We start from the raw sequence: 20,902 nt of genomic DNA, 5'->3' as shown, positions 1-20,902 counted from the left end.
TCTTTCTGCCCCTGGGATCACTGGGCATGTCCTCGTCAGTGCCTGATTTCTTTTGCTCAGTGTGTTTGGGGGATCCTTCTATTTCATTGCCTGGTCTTCGCTCATTTCCTATTGCAGTTCCGTGCATGGCCCATTACATGAACACAACCATTGTTTTCTCTCTTCCATTGTTTTCTCTCTTCTGCTATTGATGGACTCGGGGTTGCTTCTGATCTTTGGCTCTTAGGAAGGTTGCCCCATAAACATCCTCTTACCTGTCTCCAGGTGCACCTGTGCACAGTGCCTGCCAGAAAAGTACCTGGGGGTGGAACTGAGTTTCTTCACTTTGGCAGGTGCTGCAGACGGTCAGCTTCTCTTCTCACCAGCAGTGGGAGAGCCCCCTGTGCTCCAGCCCTCCCCAGAGCTGGGGATCATCAGACCTGAGAGCCACAGGTCCTCGTCCATGTGTAGCTGACCAGATGTGAGGATGCTCTGCCCATGTTTGGGGACAGCTTCTTTTCCTCTCCCCATCTGGCTCCCCGCTGCTCCCTGTGTGCCCACCCCACCTGCCCCGGTGTTTGGCTGGCCTCCTCTTCCTGCTGAGCCAGTGCCTCTAAGGAGCTGCCAGCAGTGGGGATGCGCCAGGCCTCCTCCAGTTCTCCAGGGCGCAGGCTTTCTGCTGCGACCATCCCGGGTCTCATCGAGCTCTGCACCCTGCACCCGCAGCGCTGACCTCACGGAGTCTGCCCCTCTGCTGCAGCTTGCCCTGGCCTCCTGCCTGCCTCTTTCTGATCCTGTCGTCTTTTGCCTCCTTGGCCTCCCTCCTGGCCTTGCTGCTGTCTCCCTTCCTCAGCTTGTCTTTTGGGGAATCTCTAACCTTCCAGAACTCCCTCTGCCCATATGGAGCCCCGATCTGGGCAGCACCACCCCTTTGCAAAACTCCCCTCCGTCCACACCTCCCTGGGGCTTGCAGGCACCATCCAAGGAACAGCAGGACTCACCATCTCAGTGAGCCAGGGCAGGGTAGCCCGGGTCTGAGGCAGCGTGGGATTGGGAGTCTGAGCCATGGCGTGGGCTATGGGACCTGGGCCAGGCAGCAAATGTCTCTAAGCTCTCCTGTTCTCATCCATAAAAGAACATAATTATAAGGATTCAGTGAGAGAATATCCACGGCAGTGTTTGGGAGTGATGTGCTACCTGGCTCAGAAGTCACTGTGAACATCATTGTCCCTTTCTGTAATGTAGCTTTCTGTCATGCATCTAGCTAGTATGTAAGGAGAACCTGGTGCACACAGGCTGTTACTTCACCTTATCTTGTTGTGGAGTGCTCGTAACTGCCCGCCAGGAGGTAGGCACCGTGTTCCTCTCTGCTTTACAGAAGAGGAAACCGAGGCCTAGGAAGGGGGCTGGCCTTGGCTGAGATGTCACCCCTGATGACAGGCAAAGCTGGGAATCTCATCTCTGTGGCCAGACTCCCAGCACCATCATGCACGGCTTTCTGGAGCAAAGGCAGAATGATGAGGAGATCACAGGCACGGAGGCAGGAGTGTGAAAGCATCAGAATATGCCACCCCAAAGGATGCCGCTTTGACATAAGGATTATTTTGAGCTGAAGGCAACTGAGAAACAGCCAGATGCAGAAAAAGCTCTCTACTCCCCATGCTCCCATCTGCCTCAAGGGAGGGCAGAAATTTATCTTTTTTTTTTTTTGAGACAGAGTCTCACTCTGTCACCCAGGCTGGAGTGCAGTGGAGCAATCTTGGCTCACTGCAATTTCAGCCTCCTCGGTTCAAGAGATCCTCATGCCTCAGATCCCCAAGTAGCTGGGATGACAAGCATGCACCACCGCACTCGGCTAATTTTTGTATTTTTAGTAGAGACGGGGTTTCGCCGTGTTGGCCAGGCTGGTCTTGAACTCCTGACTTCCTCCTTCAACACCTGCCTCGGCCTCCCAAAGTGCTGGGATTACAGGCATGAGCCACGGTGCCTGGCCCAGAAATTCATTTTTGTGAAGGATTCCTCCTCCCCTCTCCTGTACCAGAAAGAAGCCACAACTCATCACCGGAGATGGCACCAACCTGAATAGTCATAACCTTTAACAACCCTTATCTTCCATTATTTCCCCCGTATGTATCCCTTTCCACATTTGCCATCCCTAGAAGCTCAAAACATTTTTCCTTTGTCTTGTCATGTCTCCACAATTTTTTTATTTTTTTTGAAACAGAGTCTTGCTCTGTCACCCAGGCTGGAGTGCAGTGACACGATCTCGACTCACTGCAACCTCCGCCTCCCGGGTTCAAGTGATTCTCCAGCCTCAGCCTCCTGAGTAGCTGGGATTACAGGCATGTGCCACCATGCCCAGATAATTTTTGTATTTTTAGTAGAGATGGGGTTTCACCATGTTGGTCAGGCTTCTCTCAATCTCCTGACCTCGTGATCCTCCCGCCTTGGCCTCCCAAAGTGCTGGGATTACAGACATGAGCCACCATGCTGGCCACATCTCCACAATTTATGGCTCTTTGTTAAGATGTTACACAGGCTCCAAATGCTAACCACCTCAGAGAGTCACATTTCTTTGTGAATGCCCACGCATATGTATATAATTAAATCTGTTCTTTTCTCTTGTTAATTGCCTTTTGTCAGTTTAATTTGCAGGACCTCAGTCACTGAACATAAGAAGGTAGAAGACACATTTTTTTTTCTCCCTCACAAAGCCAGGACCCCTGAGGAGGGTCCCAGGCCCTGCTCATAGCACACCATGCCTAAGAGGGGACCAGCTCCAGGGAACAGCAGGGTAACCCCCCCCATGATATGGAATGCTGTGGGATGTGCCAGGGTGTGGCCCCCAGCCAGGGTGAGCAAGCGGGTCAGCTCCCTCTGGCCCTTGGAGGCCTCAGTATGCCTTGCAGCCCGAGTCCTGCCTGTCCCTCCTTGCAGCCCGAGTCCTGCCTGTCCCTCCTTGCAGCCCGAGTCCTGCCTGTCCCTCCTTGCAGCCCGAGTCCTGCCTGTCCCTCCTTGCAGCCCGAGTCCTGCCTGTCCCTCCTTGCAGCCCTGGCTGCAGAAAGGGTGAACCTGCCTTGAGGGCACTGCCTGCGCCTTCCCAGGGAGCTCCTCTGGCCTCCCCTCTCCATTCGCCCACTCCTCCGTGGTTACGTTTCGTGAAAACAGATGCTTTCCAGGAGAGTCACAGTTCATTAGGGAGATGGAGAGCAGGGATCCCAGGCTGCCACTGTGACCAGAATGGAGAGGCCTTCCCAGCACAGCAATCCCCTGGGCTGGTGCAGTGCCTGGCCCATCAGAGGGGCTGAATGGGCAGGGGCAGGGCAGACAGAGATTGCCCTACAGAGGTGACCTTTTGTTACTAGCTTGAGAGTTGCTTTCCTCTATCTCTTTAGATAAGTTATTTGGTAGATGCTGTTACTGATGTGTGCACTGTGGGCTTCAGCAAAGACAGAAACAGATCCCTGAGAACCCCTGGGAACAGCTGCAGTGGTGAGTGGCCACTCCCAGCAGTCCTCTCTCAGAGGACAGAGGGGCTGCACAGAGGAGGAAAGGAGGGGTGTGGGTGTTTCTCCCCACGCCTTTTGCTTCCAGAGAGAGGCCTCTGGGATGCAGGATCTCCCCAGGTGTTGCTTCTTCAGCTGGGAGCTGTTGACACCCACCAGGGACTGGAAGATCCCTGGACAAAACAAAGGTGAGAAAGAAGCCCTGGAAGGGCCCGGGGGAGAGGGATGTGCCAAGAGAGAAAGATGGGGTTTCCTGGGGGCACCTGGACCCGCCTGGTCCCTGTACTCTGGGCCCTGCCCTGGCCCGTCACTACTGACCTGCTCTCCCAAACGCCAATCACACCATCCACACAGAATCACTGGCTAAATGAGGTTCATGGTTCTGTGTGGACACTTCCACATCCACCTTTTCACTAAATTCAAACGGTGGCTCTTGCCTTTATTTTTTAAACAGCCTTACTGAGGTATAATTGACATAGAACAAGCCGTGCCTATCTGAAGTGTACAATTTGGTAGCTTTGACATAGGTAGACCCCCAGGAAACCATCACCATGGTCAAGATAGTGAGCGCATTCATCAGCCCAAGCATTATTTATGTTTTTAAACTAACATAAATTAAGTTTATCCTTAAACAGACTGGTATGGACACAAATTGACAGGAAATAGAAACCGAAGGCATGAGCCTCTCTTCTGTGGAGGGGATGGTTGGGGACGGTCACCACTTCCACGCATGCCTGTGGGGACTCCTGCAGGCAACCCACTCTGGTTTTCTGGAAAGCAGGAGAACATCCCAGAAATGCTACACAGAGTTCCTGAGGGCAGGTCTGCTGCCGGCTGAGGCAGAACCTGAATGTGGGCACGCCAGGCAGAGGGGATGGCCTGTCACCCTCTTCAGAAGGCGCTTCATGGTAGGAAGGTAAAGGGCAGCTCTCGGGTGTGGACTTAAAATCCTAGTCAGGCCTGAAGTAAAATTTGGGAAAGATTCCTGTCCTTCTGCCCATTCCCAAGGCAACTGCCTTCTCCTCAGCACCTACTGGCATAGGGCATGCCCAACTCGGTACCCACCGGGTGCAGGCCAGAAACTCACACGCTCAACTGAGTTGTCAGGATGGGGCCTTGGCTCGTGGGCGGGCCTTGATCATCTCTGGTTTCTCTTGCTGGGATTCATTTATTTACTTATTTATTGCCAAAAGCTGAATACCTGGATTCCTAAGTGCGATCTCCTAATTCTTACAGTTGGCAATGTAATGATTTTTTAAACACGTCAGGGGAGGCAGGTCTAAGGGCCCCCAAACTACAGGTGTCCGTCTCGAGGCATTTGCCCTATCGGGTGGCTCCAGATTGGCTCTTTCTTCACCCCCCAACAGATTCCCCTTGCATTTCACTTCATGTCAACGAACTTCCGCTGAGCAAGTGTGGCTGTCACGTCCAGGGCCCTGGGCTGGGGAAGCTGCAGAGGTGATTGGCCATCCCTGTCCGTGGGAAGACTTGCTAGCTGAAGTGCGCCACAGAAATGCATCCTAGTCCATGGGCTTGGGGAAGAGAAGGCAATTAGTCTACTGGGGTGCTCCCAGAAGGCTGCAGGAAGGAAGGAGCACTGGAGCTGAGAAAGATGATGAAGATCCACAGGTCAGCAGCGAGGAAGAAGAGGAGAGCTGCAGAGGTGGAGAGTGCAAGGTGTGTCCCAGGAGCGACAGGTGGTTTGCCTATGGGGCCAGACTGGGGACCCCAGGGATGCTGGGGTGCTGGGAGAAGAATGATTTGGAAAAAAGGAGATTCATGTTCTCCTGGTCTCTCTCCCTCTCTGAGGCCTCCTAAGGCATTGCCTCTGGGCCTCTTGGGGGTTCTGTGGAACTTGGATTATGGTCCTAGAAACCTAGAAATAAGAGTGGCCACAAAGATTCTGTCGCTGAGACCCATCCAATGCAGGACCCCCGTCTCCTACAGCACTAATTTCATCCACATCCCCTTCCCACCTCTCCATCAAATAGGCCAGATCCCCAGCGTCCCTTCTTATAGAAATGGGAGGTGGGGACTCTTGAGTTTTTCCCAGCGTAAGAATAAAAAAATGAGCTGCCAAAAGTTGCCTGGAATCAGAACTCGGGAGCGCACTGGAGCTGGGAGAGAAGAAATGGATACAGACAAGCTTCCTCTGGCCAGCTGTGCCTACACTCTATAAAAAAGTGTCAGATTCAATCACCCGGGTTTGGGGGTTGTTGGCGCCAAACATCTGGATCTTTGGACGGGCCCCTAAGACGCCAGGATGTTGCACTTCCCACCTGGAAGTCTGCCGTCATCTAAGTGCAGCCCTGACTCGGGAGAGGGCGAGCACCTGGCCAGGCCCGGCCCACTTCCTCCGAGGGGCCTCGGCCCCCTCTCCCTGCAGATGGACAGGACACACGTGTTTGCAGGACCTCTGGGGTGGGGGTGGGGAGGAGGCAGGGCCTGTCTAGCCTGTTCTGGGTCTTTCCTGGCTCTGAAGCAGCCCTGTGCCCACAACCAGAACTTACCGCGGGTGGCTGCACCCTGGGTTGACTCAGGCCGACCGGCCTGGCCCCTGGGAAGTGGACGCGATGCTACGTAGGCTTTGCTTATGAAGGAAGAAATCTACTTACATCCATCTGACTCTCTCCTCTCACCAAGAATAAGCCACATAGTTCATTCCAAGGGTCTGAATTCCCAGAGGTGCTCTGTGTGTGTGTGTAGGCTTACTACTTCAAAAGGAGGCAAAACGATGCCAGCCCTTCAAAATACTTTCCAGCAATACAGTGACCTGAATTAGAGCCTGTCATCCCCACTAATTTGCTAGTAAATAAAGATGTTTCTGACCATCTAAAGGAGGTGGCCAGGGAAAGCCAACCAATTTTTGTGTGACGTAATGCCCCGCCCTCTCCTGGCTGGTGTCAAGGGCACTGCCCAGGTGTAAGTGCAGTAGTTGGCAGGAAATGTCTTGAGAATATGAAGCTGCATCCTAGTTCCTCCGTCGGTTAAACGTGGAGTTACCATGTGCCCAGCAATCCCACTCCTGGGATATACCCGAGACAAATGAGAATAGACGTCCACCCAGAAACCTGTTCGTGAATGCTCACAGCAGCACTGTTCACAACAGCGAAAAGTGGAAGCAACCTAGACGCCACCCGATGATGAATGAAGAAATGAAATAGGGTCCATCCATATCATGCAGTGTTATTTGGCAGTAAGAAGGAACGAAGTACCAATACATCCTGCAGCATGAATGGGCCTTGAAAGCACGATGGCAAGTGAAGGAAGCCAGACACAGAATGATCAATATTGTATGATTCCAATTATGTAAAATGCCCAGAATAGGCAAATCCATAGAAATAAAAAACAATTCATAGTTTCCTAAGGCTGGGGGCAGAGAGGAATGAGGAGTGACTGCTAATGGCTATGAGGTTTGTTTTTGTAGTGATGGAATGTTCTCTAATTTGGTGATGGATGTACAATTCCGTGAATAGACTAAAAGCCACTGGATTGTGCACTTTCAATGGGTAAATTGAATGTTATGTGAATTATACCACAATAAAATTGTTCTTTTAAAAGGCAAAAAAGTTGCACTCTCAACAAATTCCAGGATTCAGACTTTTTAAATTCCCAGATAGTTGCCCACCCAATCAGCCCACATAGTTGAGGGGATTTTGTTGTTGTTGTTTTTGATACGGAGTCTCGCTCTGTCACCCAGGCTGGAGTGCAGTGGCACAGTCTCAGCTGACTGCAACCTCCGCCTCCCGGGTTCAAGGGACTCTCCTGCCTCAGCCTCCTGAGTAGCAGGGATTACAGATGCGTGCCACCACTCCCAGCTAATTTTTTGTATTTTTAGTAGAGACGGGGTTTCACCATGTTGGCCAGGGTGGTCTCAAGCTCCTGACCTTGTGATCCGTCCACCTCGGCCTCCCAAAGTGCTGGGATTACAGGTGTGAGCCACCGCGCCTGACTGAGAGGTTTTAATAGGGTTAAATAATGGACTTATGTTTTGTTGGTTGGCATCCAATATTTGGAATTGTGGCAAGATAGGACTGATCTCATCACCGTGCTCCCAGGGAGATAACAGTGGGATATGATTTTCCTTGACATAAAAGGCTGAGCTATGTTCTTACGATTTTAGAGGAAGGACTGAATGTTTATTACCCCAGAATCCAGTATTTGGACCCGTGAAACAAAGAATGATAGCTCATTTTGTTTTTATAGAGTCGGGGTATCACTCTGTTGTTCTTGCTGGAGTACATGGGTGCAATCGTGGCTCACTGCAACCTCGAAGTCCGGGGCTGAAATGATATTCCTGTCTCAGCCTGCCGATTAGCTGGGACTACAGTTGCATGCCACCATGCCTGACTCATTAAAAAAAAAATTGTAGAAATGTGGTCTTGCTATGTTGCCCAGGCTGCTCCCAAACTCCTGGCCTCAAGTGATCCTCCTGTCTCAGCCTCCCAGGTTGCTGGGACTATAGGCATAAGCCACTGCATGTGGTAGGATCTATGAAATTAAAAAAGTGATAGCTTGTTGTTTTGCTGTGTGGCCTTGGGCAAATGACCTAGCCTCTCCGGTTTGTAGTTTCTTCCTTTATAAAATGGGGATTAAAATGGTACCATTTCTTAGGGTTCTATGAGGATTAAATAGGTAAAATATTGAAACCACTAGCCCGGGCATGGTGGCTCATTCCTGTAATCCAAGCACTTTGGGAGGCTGAGGCGGGCAGATCGCCTGAGGTCAGGAGTTCGAGACCAGCCTGGCCAACATGGTAAAACCCCATCTCAACTAAAAATACAAAAAAAAAAAAAAAAAAAAATTAGCTGAGCATGGTGGCAGGCGCCTGTAATTCCAGCTACATGGGAGGCTGAGGCAGGAGAATTGCTTGAACCAGGGAGGCAGAGGTTGCAGTGAGCCGAGACCGCACCACTGCACTCCAGCTTGGGCAATGAGAATGAAACTCCGTCTCAAAAAAAAAAAAAAAAATTAAGCCACTAAAAATAATGTCCAGCGTATTACACAATGCATTTACTACTATTTGCTTTCTGCTTCTGGGCCTAAGGACTTGGTCTCCACTGCCCGATGTCTTCCCCTTAAACTTTCAAATTGCTCACCACCTCACTCTGATAGGGTCCCTGGTCACCTATCACAAGGCACGATGCCTTGCCTGACCACACGAGCTAAGAGGGCCACTCCATCCCACTACTGTTTGTCTTCACCTCACTGTTATGACCTGAAATCGCTATGTCTGTGTTTGCTTGTGTGTTTACTATTTTGCTTTTCCATGAGCATGCACACTGCCTTGTTCATGCATTGAAACTTGCCTGGGCCAGAGGCATTTGCTGAAGGAAAGAATGAATCAAAGAAGGGTGTCCCCTGTTCATGGAGCATGTCCCGGAGCTCTGTGCCCCCAACCTCAGAAGACTTAAGGAGGCCTAATCTGAGCAGTTAGAAGGACCTTCAGCAATTGTGTGTGTCCGGGGAGGCTCTCAGTCCTAGGAGCCCTGGAAATACAAAGTCCAGAAGTGAGAAGCCAGAAAAGTACTATCCTTTTGGCCAGAAGCTGAATTCATCTAGAGGGAAGACTCTTTCTTCTCGGGAAACACAACCACTGGTTGTGCCCTCGGATGAGGGCAGGTCCCGCTCTGCCACGGAGCAGCTGACAAGTGCAGAACTGGACACTTTTCAGGCAGGATGGAGGGGGACAGTGGGCAAAGGGCTGCTCCAGCCGAGCTTATCACCTGATCTCATCCCCGGATCTGGACCACGTGGCCAACGAGCTGCCAGAGAGGCAGGAAAAGTGAGTGTATTTTTGCTGAGCATATTAATACTCCAATCAAATTAGATCGGAATGAAGAAAAAGCAGAATCGCAGAATAGCTGTTAGCAAAGGAGAAAAATACGATAACAGTGATAGTCGTGGTACCCGCAGCCCCTCTCACAGAGCAGGAGGGTATAAAAGGGCCAGGTGCCCCATAACTCCCTCACAGTTGCTTTTCAAGCAATAAACAGAGTCTAGGGGCTTACACGGAGCCAGCGGGTATGCTTGGGAAAACACCCAGTGACCCCAGCCCATGAGGCACTCAGAAAAGAGAGGACACCACAGCGGCCTCCCCTTAAAAATCAAGCAAGCAGGCCAGGCATGGTGGCTCCCGCTTGTAATCGCAGCACTTTGGGAGGCCAAAGCATCAGGAGTTCAAGACCAGCCTGGCCAACATGGTGAAACCCCATCTCTACTAAAAATGCAAAAATTAGCTGGGCGTGTTGGCAAACGCCTGTCATCCCAGCTGCTTGGGAGGCTGAGGTAGGAGAATCACTTGAACTGGGGAGGTGGAGGTTGCAGTGAGCCGAGATTGCACCACTGCACTCCAGCCTGGGCAACTGAGTGAGACCCTGTCTCAAAAAAAAAATCAAGCAAGCAAACAGCATTTTCCCCGACCCTAACTATGAAAGAAATGCGATAAGCCCTCTCCCTCTCCCTCCTCTCCCTCTCTTTCCACGGTCTCCCTCTCATGCCGAGCCGAAGCTGGACTGTACTGCTGCCATCTCGGCTCACTGCAACCTCCCTGCCTGATTCTCCTGCCTCAGCCTGCCGAGTGCCTGCGATTGCAGGCGCGCGCCGCCACGCCTGACTGGTTTTCGTATTTTTTTGGTGGAGACGGGGTTTCGCTGTGTTGGCCGGGCTGGTCTCCAGCTCCTAAGCGCGAGTGATCCGCCAGCCTCGGCCTCCCGAGGTGCCGGGATTGCAGACGGAGTCTGGTTCACTCAGTGCTCAATGGTGCCCAGGCTGGAGTGCAGTGGCGTGATCTCGGCTCGCTACAACCTCCACCTCCCAGCCGCCTGCCTTGGCCTCCCAAAGTGCCGAGATTGCAGCCTCTGCCCGGCCGCCACCCCGTCTGGGAAGTGAGGAGCGTCTCTGCCTGGCTGCCCATCGTCTGGGACGTGAGGAGCCCCTCTGCCTGGCTGCCCAGTCTGGAAAGTGAGGAGCGTCTCTGCCCGGCCGCCATCCCACCTGGGAAGTGAGGAGCGCCTCGTCCCGGCCGCCATCCCATCTAGGAAGTGAGGAGCGTCTCTGCCCGGCAGCCCATCGTCTGAGATGTGGGGAGCGCCTCTGCCCCGCCGCCCCATCTGGGATGTGAGGAGCGCCTCTGTCCCGCCGCCCCGTCTGGGAGGTGAGGAGCGTCTCTGCCCGGCAACCGCCCCGTCTGAGAAGTGAGGAGCCCCTCCGCCCGGCTGCCGCCCTGTCCGGAAGGGAGGTGGGGGTCAGCCCCCTGCCCAGCCAGCCGCCCTGTCCGGGAGGGAGGTGGGGGTCAGCCCCCCACCCGGCCAGCCACCCCGTCCGGGAGGTGAGGGGCGCCTCTGCCCGGCCGCCCCTACTGGGAAGTGAGGAGCCTCTCTGCCTGACCACCCCGTCTGGGAGGTGTACCCAACAGCTCATTGAGAACGGGCCATGATGACAATGGCGGTTTTGTGGAATAGAAAAGGGGGAAAGGTGGGGAAAAGATTGAGAAATCGGATGGTTGCCGTGTCTGTGTAGAAAGAGGTAGACATGGGAGACTTTTCATTTTTTTCTGTACTAAGAAAAATTCTTCTGCCTTGGGATCCTGTTGATCTATGACCTTACCCCCAACCCTGTGCTCTCTGAAACATGTGCTGTGTCCACTCAGGGTTAAATGGATTAAGGGCGGTGCAAGATGTGCTTTGTTAAACAGATGCTTGAAGGCAGCATGCTCGTTAAGAGTCATCACCACTCCCTAATCTCAAGTACCCAGGGACACACACACTCTGCCTAGGAAAACCAGAGACCTTTGTTCACTTGTTTATCTGCTGACCTTCCCTCCACTATTGTCCTATGACCCTGCCAAATCCCCCTCTGCGGGAAACACCCACGAATGATCAATAAAAAAAAAATAAATAAATAAATAAAAATAAAAAATAAAAAAAATAAAAAAAAATAAAAAAAAAAGAAAGAAATGCCAGATCTCTTCACCATACACCATCTGGAAAATTCAGGGAACTATACAGAAGAAAACCCTACCAGTGTCAGATGAACACGGTTACCATTCTGACGTGACTCCTTCCAAACCCTCCCGTCCGTTCCCGATAGCATTTTATGTTGTGCGCTTTCCTTTGGAATGCATGACTTGCCTTTTGCCCTGAGTGCATAGATCAACCTTTTGTGTGTGTGGAAAGTATTGGGAATCTCAAGAAGCCAGCACAGGGGCTTAAACACAGACAAAAAACACCCCTCCATCCCCCGGCTTCCCTCTCAGGTGTATACCCACTGTGACTTCCAAAGCTGGGTGCGTGAGTTGTGTGTTTCTTAAATTACACTGACTGCAGAAGCCATGTGGGAAGCAAGCAATTCTCCAAAAGGGGCTTTTATATGCCTTGTGTGGCCAAGTGTGCCTCCAGCCCAGGGGAGAGGAAGTACATGGAGTTTACTTCTTGGACAGACCAGGCCTCTTTAAGTACTTTTTTTTTTTTAATTCAATTAGCTTGAGAGGGAAGGTGGGGAGGGTCACCAGCTGTGTGGTTTGTGAGTCAGTTGAATTTCAAGCTGTAAACTGCGTATTTCAGGCAATGGACATCTTAAGGCTTGGGGATTTTATTATTATTTATTTTCAAGTCTGGCCCTGGAACAGACTGGTTCTGTCCCTCTCCAGGTTTTAGCATTAGATCTTGATGTCTGTAAATAAGGAGGTAATTTGAGATATCTGTGACCTAAATTTGGGAGATTAATGAAATGAGGGTCTGGTGCTGTGAGGCTGGGGCGAAGAGACGGGTGAAAGTCTGTGTGTCAGGCACTCACTTCCAGGTGGCCTCCCTGCGGCTGACATTGGCTCTGAAACCTGATTGGGTCCCGCAGTTTGACCGCAGGCAGAATATTTAAATTGAAACTGTCCTGGAAAGTTTGGGGAGCATGATTGCCCTAAGTATTGCCTGTGCTTTATCTTGTTTATGTAACATACATTAGCAAATTTAAGCACTCGGGGACCAGGGAGTCAGCAGTGTGGGAGTTGGGGGCGGGTTGGGGGTTGAAGCCCCTGGTTTATCGTATTTGCGAGTTTCTGTGGTATAAACAATCTCACCAACCTGACATCATTGGAGGTTGGGGAGAGGTATGCAGTATTATATGGTACATATTATATGGTGTTTCCACCATATAAACACCAGATAGATTGTAAATAAACATAAACTCAATAGTAAAATTGAGTAAAATAAGTAGAAAGCGATGGGTTTGATGAGTTTTGAGTTATACCTTTGCTCTTAATACAATTGTTTTTAATATACCTTATCTCATTGTAAGCTTACTATTCTTTTTTTTTTAATAAAAGCTGCATTTAACAAGCAGATCACAAGATTTCTGCAAATTTAACAGCATTCTCTCATGATCAGGAATGAGGCGGCCCCACCACACAGATGTCTAATGGGGCAGGTTGGGAGGGAGCGAGCACACACTGTCCTGTGGCTGACAAGGTCTAGGAAGGTTTCCACTGTACTCACCCTGCCAACCCTGCCAGCTCTGCAGCCCAGCTGTCTGGCTCTCTGGCTAAGCACGGCCCAGGGATGCTTCCTGGTTCCCAGGTCTCACTCAAGCAGCCTACTGGACTGGGGCCCATCTCCAAGTCTCAGATCTTCCTCCCTCCCTCCCTTCCTCTCCGTCTCTGTGCCTGTCTGAGTCCAGGACAATAAGGCAAGTCATCAGCCTATTGTGTGTCTTTTTTTTCTTTTTGAGACAGAGTCTCACTGTTTTGCCCAGGCTGGAGTGCAGTGGCGTGATCTCGGCTCACTGCAACATCCGCCTCCACAGTTCAAGCGATTCTCCTGCCTCAGCCTCCCAAGTAGCTAGGACCACAGGCATGCACCACCATGCCTGGCTAATTTTTGTATTTTTAGTAGAGACAGGGTTTCGCTATGCTGTCCAGGCTGGTCTCTAACTCCAGACCTCACGTGATACGCACACCTCAGCCTCCTAAAGTGCTGGGAATACAGGCGTGAGCCACCGCACCCAGCCCTGTGTGTCCTTCATAAATGTCATTTGTGGGGAGGGTCAGTTGGAGACATTTGAAAATCTCATAAGCTGTTGAAAAGAGGCCAGAGACAGAAAGCAGGCCCTCCAGCCTGTAGCTGTCACCTGGAGGCTGTGCCTGTGGTTCCCTGGCCTGACTTCCTGGGGCCATTCCACACCTGGGAAGAGGGAGGGAACTGCGGAAGCACCATTTATGGAGCACCTGCCAAGAGGGCAATGGGGCTGATTGATGCTGCCTAGAAGAAAGGCCACCTCTTGGCTGAGTTATCCTACATCTCTCCTTGCCTGGAGCTGCCTCAGACAACGAAGGCATGCTGGATGCATGCCACCCCTGACCCAGAATGCGCAGAGAGGTCCATGCAGCAAGCCCCAGAGAGCAAGGATGAGGTGCCCACTCTTTACTCTTGAGCCAGCTCCTTGGCTTTGCGCTGCATGCCCGGGGAGGGAAGGGGGCTCAGAGTGGGAGGGGAAGGCCTGGCCAAGGCAAGTCCTGGAGGAGACACACTCCCACATTTAGAGACAAAGACATGCTGATCCTGAAGATATCATTAACTTAATTTTATAGGACAGAATCCTGGGAAGCTGGCCAACCCGAGGGAAGGAAGAGACGGGGGAAATTGGAATTCTAAAATATTTTAAAGCAGTTGCAATGGATTACTTTTGATTACTTTCAAGAACATAAAGTGACTTGAAGGAAGCTGACTATGGGTTGCCAAGTAGTCTTACTTAAGGGATTTTTAAGTTAAGAATAAGTGCTATTTGCATATTAAGAGTTTGTAAGAAATCCTACAGGCTAAAGGTTCCAGAGGCACAGTAGGGTGGGAAGGAGTGAGGGAGGTCCAGCAGGGAGACAGTGTTCAGTTACTGAACTTAGGACATCTTGAATCCACCATCTCAACCCTGAGGGCTTTTGACTCTATGTTTATGAATATAAAAGCATTAGCCCAAATTGTTTCAATATTGGCTATTTTGGAGAAGAAAATATCTTCTAGAGCTAATTCCGTCATGGTCATTTCATTTCATGATCATTTTTTCATGAAGCAGCGTTGGAACAAAGTCCCTCTCTCCTATTGTCATTTTTACTTCACTAAAACTGCTTTTATCAGGATTCTTTCTTTTTTCCAGGACAACAACAACTAGGCTCTCCAACCCCACTAGGACTCTCCTCTCTCCTCCCGAATGGCTGACTTTTCTTGGACAGTCTCCCTCCTCAGGGCTTGGCCCTGGCAGCTCTGGTCCCAGGTTAAAAATCCTGGGGAAGCCTCTGATAGGTCCAGCAGTGTTCCCTGTCCATTCCTGGCCCAGTCACCTTTGGGCAACGGGCAGAGATGCAATGATGTCCCCACCCATCTTGGAGGCTGGGGCGGAGTCTGTAAGCAGGTGAAAACCCTGCTTCAACCCGGCCAGGTTTAGAATGGGGTTTCTGTCTTGGGCAGATGAAACACACCCACCCATGATTGCTTTGGTCATTTTTCCCAAATGCTAAATGATCACAGCTCAGTCAGAGGGACTTCTCCAAAACTCCAGCACTTCACAGATGAGTGTGTGTCAGCACAGTAAGCTTCCAGCAGAATGGAGCGGCACATGGGGCATCAGAGAAGCCCCACCCTGTGTGCCAGGCTGGGCTGGCCAGGAATCAGATGGCCATGGGTCCTTTGTTCACAGGGCTGGACATGGTCAGAGTTGTGCGTGGCCCAGCACCTCTAGGCAGACAGAGGCTGTGGGAAAAAGAGGGGTTTGTGGAGTCACGAAGGCTCTCCCAAGTATGGGTTGCTTGTTCTGTTCTGTTTTGCTGCTCAGCCTATTCCAGCAGGCCCCATCCAGCTCCTGTCCAGCTCTAGGTCAGCTGTGTAGGGGCCATGACAATGGCTCTCTCCTGTTAGGGTCCCGTACCCTGCCAGGGCTTTCCACTCATGATGGCAGATCCTCAGGAAACCCACCCAGGACACGCTTCTCACCTGCTGTGTGTCTCTGCTGTATCTTCAGTAATATGGAGCTGTCTTTAGTCTCCAACTCCAGGACTGCATGAGAACCAACGAGGCCCCTAGAGCAAGGTCCCGGCACAGCCTGAGGGCGGCCCTTATGGACTTGCAACTGCAACTGCTCTCAGGAGCTGGTCGGTGCTCGGGTCCACCTGCCTCCCCACTCAGGGATGGCCACCATCGCTCCCTGGGGCTCTGGGCAACCACAGAAGACCTGGGGATCTGGGGCGGAGTTGCCTCCTGCCCACAGTAGGGGGAGGTCGCTGCACCTGGGGCTAAAATCTGACAGACTGGGTGGGTCACTCTGACAGCCCCTGGGAGGGCGAGACGTGTGGGGGTGGCCACTTGTGGAGGGGCTGGGTGGCTGTTGCCATCCCAGGAGGGCAGTGCTATAATGCACTTGGCTGGAAGGCCTAGGCTGAACAGCTGACCTAATGCCTCCATGCAGGACTTGCATGGGGCGTAAACACCTAGGGCAGCAATAAAGTGAAGAGGAAGGAGCTGGATCCCCTTACAACCCTCATTTCCACCTCCCAGGGAAGGTGGTAGAGGGAGGAAGCCTGGCTACGTGGAGGGTGAGGCCTCGGGCAGGTCTCTGCATCCCACCCCTGGCACCTCTGGCTCCTGGACACACAGACACACAAACAGGGCCTCTCCCTGAGTGGCCTTCTGTGGGCAGGGGCTTCCCTAAGCGAGGAGGGACCATCAGGAAGCAACACCTGGCATTTGCAAAGACAGGAAGGGTTCCACAGGTCCCGTTAACTCCCGGGCTGGAAGAGGAGCCCACTCACTCCTGTCTCGTGGACACTGCCGGGTGGCAGGTCCTGTCCCTGTGGCCCTGAGGACTCAGAGGATGTCCCTTATCTGCCTCTACCCTCAGGCTTCTGCAGCCTTTTGCCTGGTGCCCACAAGGTAACGAAGCCTCACCTCCCACCCCAGGCTGATGGGGAGGGAGGCTCAGGAACCGCATGACACACACGAGCCCTGCCTCCACTCTCATTCACTCACCTCCAAGGTGGCTCTAATTATCCTCATTTTATAGAAAACCGATGACCAGAGAAGCCCACAGAACTGGTCCACGTGCACCCAGGGTTCAAACACAGGTCATCTGAACTTGAAGGCCTACATCAGAATTCCAGAAACGCCACCACCCTGGGACCAAAACCACCACCATGGGGCCAAAACCAACACCCTGGGGCCAAAACCACCACCATGGGGCCAAAACCACCACCCTGGGGCCAAAACCACCACCCTGGGGCCAAAACCACCACCGTGGGACCAAAACCACCACCCTGGGGCCAAAACCACCACCCTGGGGCCAAAACCAACACCCTGGGGCCAAAACCACCACCCTGGGGCCAAAACCACCACCCTGGGGCCAAAACCACCACCACGGGACCAAAACCACCACCATGGGACCAAAACCACCACCCTGGGGCCAAAACCACCACCACGGGACCAAAACCACCACCCTGGGGCCAAAACCACCACCACGGGACCAAAACCACCACCCTGGGACCAAAACCACCACCCTGGGGCCAAAACCACCACCCTGGGACCAAAACCACCACCCTGGGGCCAAAACCACCACCATGGGACCAAAACCACCACCCTGGGACCTGCCACTCTCTGAGCTTCAGCTTCAGATTCCAGAGAGAAAGAGGAGGTGGGAGGATTTGACTGGTCCAGCCCAGGTCCTCGGGCCGGCCAGGGCCCTGGATGTCTCCACTGCATGCTGGCTGTGATGTGCTTCAAGCCCTCACTGCTCCCGAGAGCCACTGATTTGCTCCCTCAGCCAGCTGGGACTGCTCTGATGTGGAGCAGCAGAGACTTACTCAGGCCACTTTACTTTACTACCTTATTACCAGGGTGCCCTCAGCAGGAGTCCGTGCGGACTGGCCAGCCGACACGGGGGCAGCCCAGGCCCTTCTCTTTCCTCCTTCTCTGTGTCTGTCCCTCCCATCACTCAACAAATGAGTGTGGGGAAAACGATGAGTAAATGGGGGCAGGCGGGAGGGGAGATGGAGAGAGGGAGGGAGAAAAGGAAGGAGAGAAAGATGGAGGGAGGAAGGGAGAGAAAGGAGAAAGGGAGGGAAGGAGAAAGGGAGGGAAGGGGAAAGGAGGACGGAAGTGGGGGGACAAGGATGAGGGAAGGGAGGGGGGACAGCGCATCTGGTTTCCAGTTTCTGGCCCTCCTCTCACCAGCTGACAGATGCTGGCCGAGACCCTCATCCCCTGTGAGGCTTGTCTCCCTCATCTGTAAAATGGGGCTGCAAGGCCTCCCCTCAGGGACTTTCAGTGGAGCTGGGAGCAGGCCCCTCATTTCCCTCCTGATCCTGAGGGCAAGGCAGGACCAGCTCTTTCCAGAACAGGGGCAGGGGGATTTTGGCTTCTGTGTCTCCTAATGACCTTCCAATGTCTCAGGTCTCCAGGAGGGAAGGAGTAATGCCCACCCGCCCGCAGGACCCTCCCCAGCCTGGCCCATAAGCTGTGGCCATTGGCCAGGAGAGATGTGCTTCCCTCTGGGGGGTCTGGAAGCCATTCACTCCCTCTCCGACCTCACCCCTTCATCTGCAGGTTAAGCAGTGAAGCCTGGATGGGGTGCCCCAGCCCTGTGCCTGTCTGAGAGAACACAGTACATGCGCCCAGGTTCCTCTGGGTGGTTTTGAGGTGGGGAGAGTAGAGGTGGGATCCAGGGCCAGTGCCCAGGGCCTGCCTGCCTGGAGCTGCTGCAGCTCCCAGGGAATGGGGTCTAGGTTGGCACCAGGCCAAGGTCTCCCAGCCCACACACTCCCAGACCTTGACTTGATCTTCTTAATTTCCACAATCCTCTTAATTGGCCGGTCACAAGGCCTCCTAAGTCAATCAGATTCTCTCTTGACCACCCCCCACCATCTCTGTCTCATGCTGGGTGTCCCTCGCCATCCATCTCCCTTGCCTCTCTGTTTCTGTCTGTCTCTGCACTGCCGTCTCCCCCTCCTCCCGTATCTCTCTGAGCCTGTCCCTCCACTCCCTCCTTTGCTTCCGGCCTCACGCTTTGGTCCCCACCCCCCTCCAGTGGTCTCACAGGGACAGCTGTGAAGAATTAGGAGCTGGACGGTGAGGATCAGCCCGGAGCGGCAGGGGATGATTTCTGTCTCCGTGGGAGATCGGGCAGGTTTTCTTAATTATTTCACCCAACAGCACATGTCCTGGGGCTCTCAGGGATTTTCTTGGACTTTCCCTCCTCTCAAAGTCTTGATTCTCACCTGAGTTAGACAGTTTGTCTTCATTTGTAGAGCAGCTTTCAGGCCCCCAGAAACGGTCCCAGCCCCCTACGCCCCTAAGCTTCCAGAGAGCATCTGTGGTGAGCCCGGGAGCCCCGGGAACCAGCCTCCCCTGGCCCGTATCCCCCCTCTTCCCAGAACGGGGTGCCTCTCCTCCGAGAGTCCCCTTGCCCCGTGTTGCCCCAGACCCCGATGGAGGGGCTCAGAGCCACACCTCTGCAAAGGGATGCGGGACCAGTTCTTACCCTAGGGGCCACCAATAACAGCTGCTCCCTGCCCGGCCTCAGAGGCTGCTTCCCACTGAAGCCAGCTCCCTTGGGTGTCGCTGTCACAGGGACCAGAACCGCTGCCATTCCCTTGGGCAAGCTGCCCACCGAGCTGCTGCCTTCTTCTGTGTGAAATGGGGCAACAAAGGCACCTGCCTCACGGGACGATTGCTACAGCTACCGCAACTCCCTGAGCATCTAGTACGTGCCAGCGCCATGTCACACCCTCTTGCCAATCATCCCGTTCTTCCTCTCAGTGACCGTGGCAGGAGGGATTTGTATGTCCATTTTATGGATTGAGAGACTGAGGTTTACAGATGTGAAATTATTTTGCTAGGGCCTGAGAGCTCCAGAAGGTGGTGTCGTGGAACCCCAGTGCTTATCTGGGGTGTTTTTTCATTATTCGACCACAGGAAGCCCCTGGTGCCTTCCGCTTCTCTGCCCCATCACATTCCCCACTGCTGTGGCTCTGTGCCCATACGGGCTCCCACCACACACAGGAGGAGGGAGCTGACTGCCTTGGCAGCTCTGCTTGTGGTTAAAGGAGGGGGAGCTCACATTTCAGTTCTTCCTGGCTTGGAAAAGGCCATTGGAAAAAACAGCCCTTCCACCCCCCAGCGATGTGTGTTCACAGCTCTTCAGCCCTGGCAGGCCTGAGAGCTCCCCCAAGGCAGTGGAGAGATCTGGGGCCATGGGCGGCAGCCACACCGCACAGTGCGGGAGGTACACTCTGGGTACAAGTACCTCATCCTGCAGGGTTTAGAGGGCCTGGAGGTCAGACTGGCTGAGCACAGGGCTCTGGGCGTTGGCAGTGTGTCTCACATACATTGAGGCTGATACTGTTGGTGGAACTGCAGAGCTGTAGATCCAGAGGCTGCAAAAGGGAATGAGGTTCTCTCAGCCAGCAGGCCCCTAATTACAGGCTGCAGGTGAGTGGAAGAGCTTCATGCTGTGAACAGGCTCCAGAAAGCTTCATTCTTTATACTGGCCAAGGGGAGAAGGAGGAAAAGGAGGCCGGCCCGGGGATGCTAGATTAGACAAGCCTGTGAGGTTCTAATAATATAAACACAAATCAAACCGTCTTAAGCAAAAAGAAACATTGATGAATGTAATTAAAATGTTTAAGGTGTAGCTTCAGGTATAGCTGGATCCAGATGCTCTAACAGTGTCACCAGGAAGCTGTCTGTCATCCTCTAGCTCAGCTTTCTTTGGCTTTTGGCTTCACTCTCAGGCAGCTCCTTCCAAGGAGCAGCCCTTGACCAGCTCCTGGGCTACATCAGCGGCTGCAAACAAGCCCAGAGGCTGCTGCTTACCGAGTGAACTAGGCCGCGTGTTTGTCTCCAAACTAATCACATCAGTCGGGCTGGACTGTGCTGAGTATTTCAGCCTCACTCACATCCTTCTCCTGAGTGGAGGCATCCACGCAAGGCTGCAGAACCACGCGATAGAATACAATCGTGATGGGGTTGACACCCCAAGGAAATGAGGCAGCTGATACCAGGAAAGAGGAATGAACACAGGGCTGGGTCCACCTTGCCCAGGTCACTTCGGCACCCCATCCCTCCATTTCCTCATCAGCAAGAAAAGAGGGGCCGTAAGGCCCACCTCCCCAGGTGGGCTCCACGTCTAAGCCCCCATGGCCCCATGGGTCAAGTGTGAGTTGTAAGGAACTGGGGGTGAAGGGAAGGCCCGAGCCAGGCCTCCACACCGGCCACTTCTCACTTCAAGTTCAGTGAGTGAGATGAAAAACACCACAAAATGAAGACAAAGGCTCTATTGCCTGCCCCTGGCTTCTCCTCACACTTTGTGCTGCCTGGGCCCCACTGGCCTACTGTCAGCTCCTCTTCCTGCCCAGGGGACTTCAGCCAGACTTCTTCCCCTGCCGG

The 20,902-nt window shown here is 53.0% G+C and overlaps 2 long non-coding RNA genes across 3 annotated transcripts in view, besides 4 other annotated features; one reads left to right on the top strand and one right to left on the bottom strand.

The window, feature by feature from the left end:
* Positions 1–20,902, bottom strand: part of LOC105371024 (uncharacterized) — a 116,308-nt gene that overhangs the window by 47,415 nt on the left and 47,991 nt on the right. The window lies entirely within an intron of this gene.
* Positions 467–991, top strand: LOC440313 (protein enabled homolog). Its single transcript, XR_001751715.2, has one exon. It is a non-coding gene; the product is annotated as a protein enabled homolog (long non-coding RNA).
* Positions 2,253–2,882: an enhancer, noted in NCBI's record as "OCT4-NANOG-H3K4me1 hESC enhancer chr15:101322275-101322904 (GRCh37/hg19 assembly coordinates)". NCBI's record gives its function as "activates a minimal SCP1, AML or CMV promoter by ChIP-STARR-seq in naive H9 embryonic stem cells {active_cell/tissue: H9 hESC(naive)}" and the evidence as "EXISTENCE:reporter gene assay evidence [ECO:0000049][PMID:30033119]".
* Positions 15,765–16,265: an enhancer, noted in NCBI's record as "H3K4me1 hESC enhancer chr15:101308892-101309392 (GRCh37/hg19 assembly coordinates)". NCBI's record gives its function as "activates a minimal SCP1, AML or CMV promoter by ChIP-STARR-seq in naive H9 embryonic stem cells {active_cell/tissue: H9 hESC(naive)}" and the evidence as "EXISTENCE:reporter gene assay evidence [ECO:0000049][PMID:30033119]".
* Positions 18,875–19,502: an enhancer, noted in NCBI's record as "H3K4me1 hESC enhancer chr15:101305655-101306282 (GRCh37/hg19 assembly coordinates)". NCBI's record gives its function as "activates a minimal SCP1, AML or CMV promoter by ChIP-STARR-seq in primed H9 embryonic stem cells {active_cell/tissue: H9 hESC(primed)}" and the evidence as "EXISTENCE:reporter gene assay evidence [ECO:0000049][PMID:30033119]".
* Positions 19,503–20,130: an enhancer, noted in NCBI's record as "H3K4me1 hESC enhancer chr15:101305027-101305654 (GRCh37/hg19 assembly coordinates)". NCBI's record gives its function as "activates a minimal SCP1, AML or CMV promoter by ChIP-STARR-seq in primed H9 embryonic stem cells {active_cell/tissue: H9 hESC(primed)}" and the evidence as "EXISTENCE:reporter gene assay evidence [ECO:0000049][PMID:30033119]".

The sequence above is a fragment of the Homo sapiens genome, chromosome 15, assembly GCF_000001405.40.
Source record: "Homo sapiens chromosome 15, GRCh38.p14 Primary Assembly".
Taxonomy (NCBI): Eukaryota; Metazoa; Chordata; class Mammalia; order Primates; family Hominidae; genus Homo; species Homo sapiens.
The sequence above is the reverse complement of the archived record's forward strand: the minus strand, read 5'-3'. Positions and strand labels throughout refer to the sequence as shown.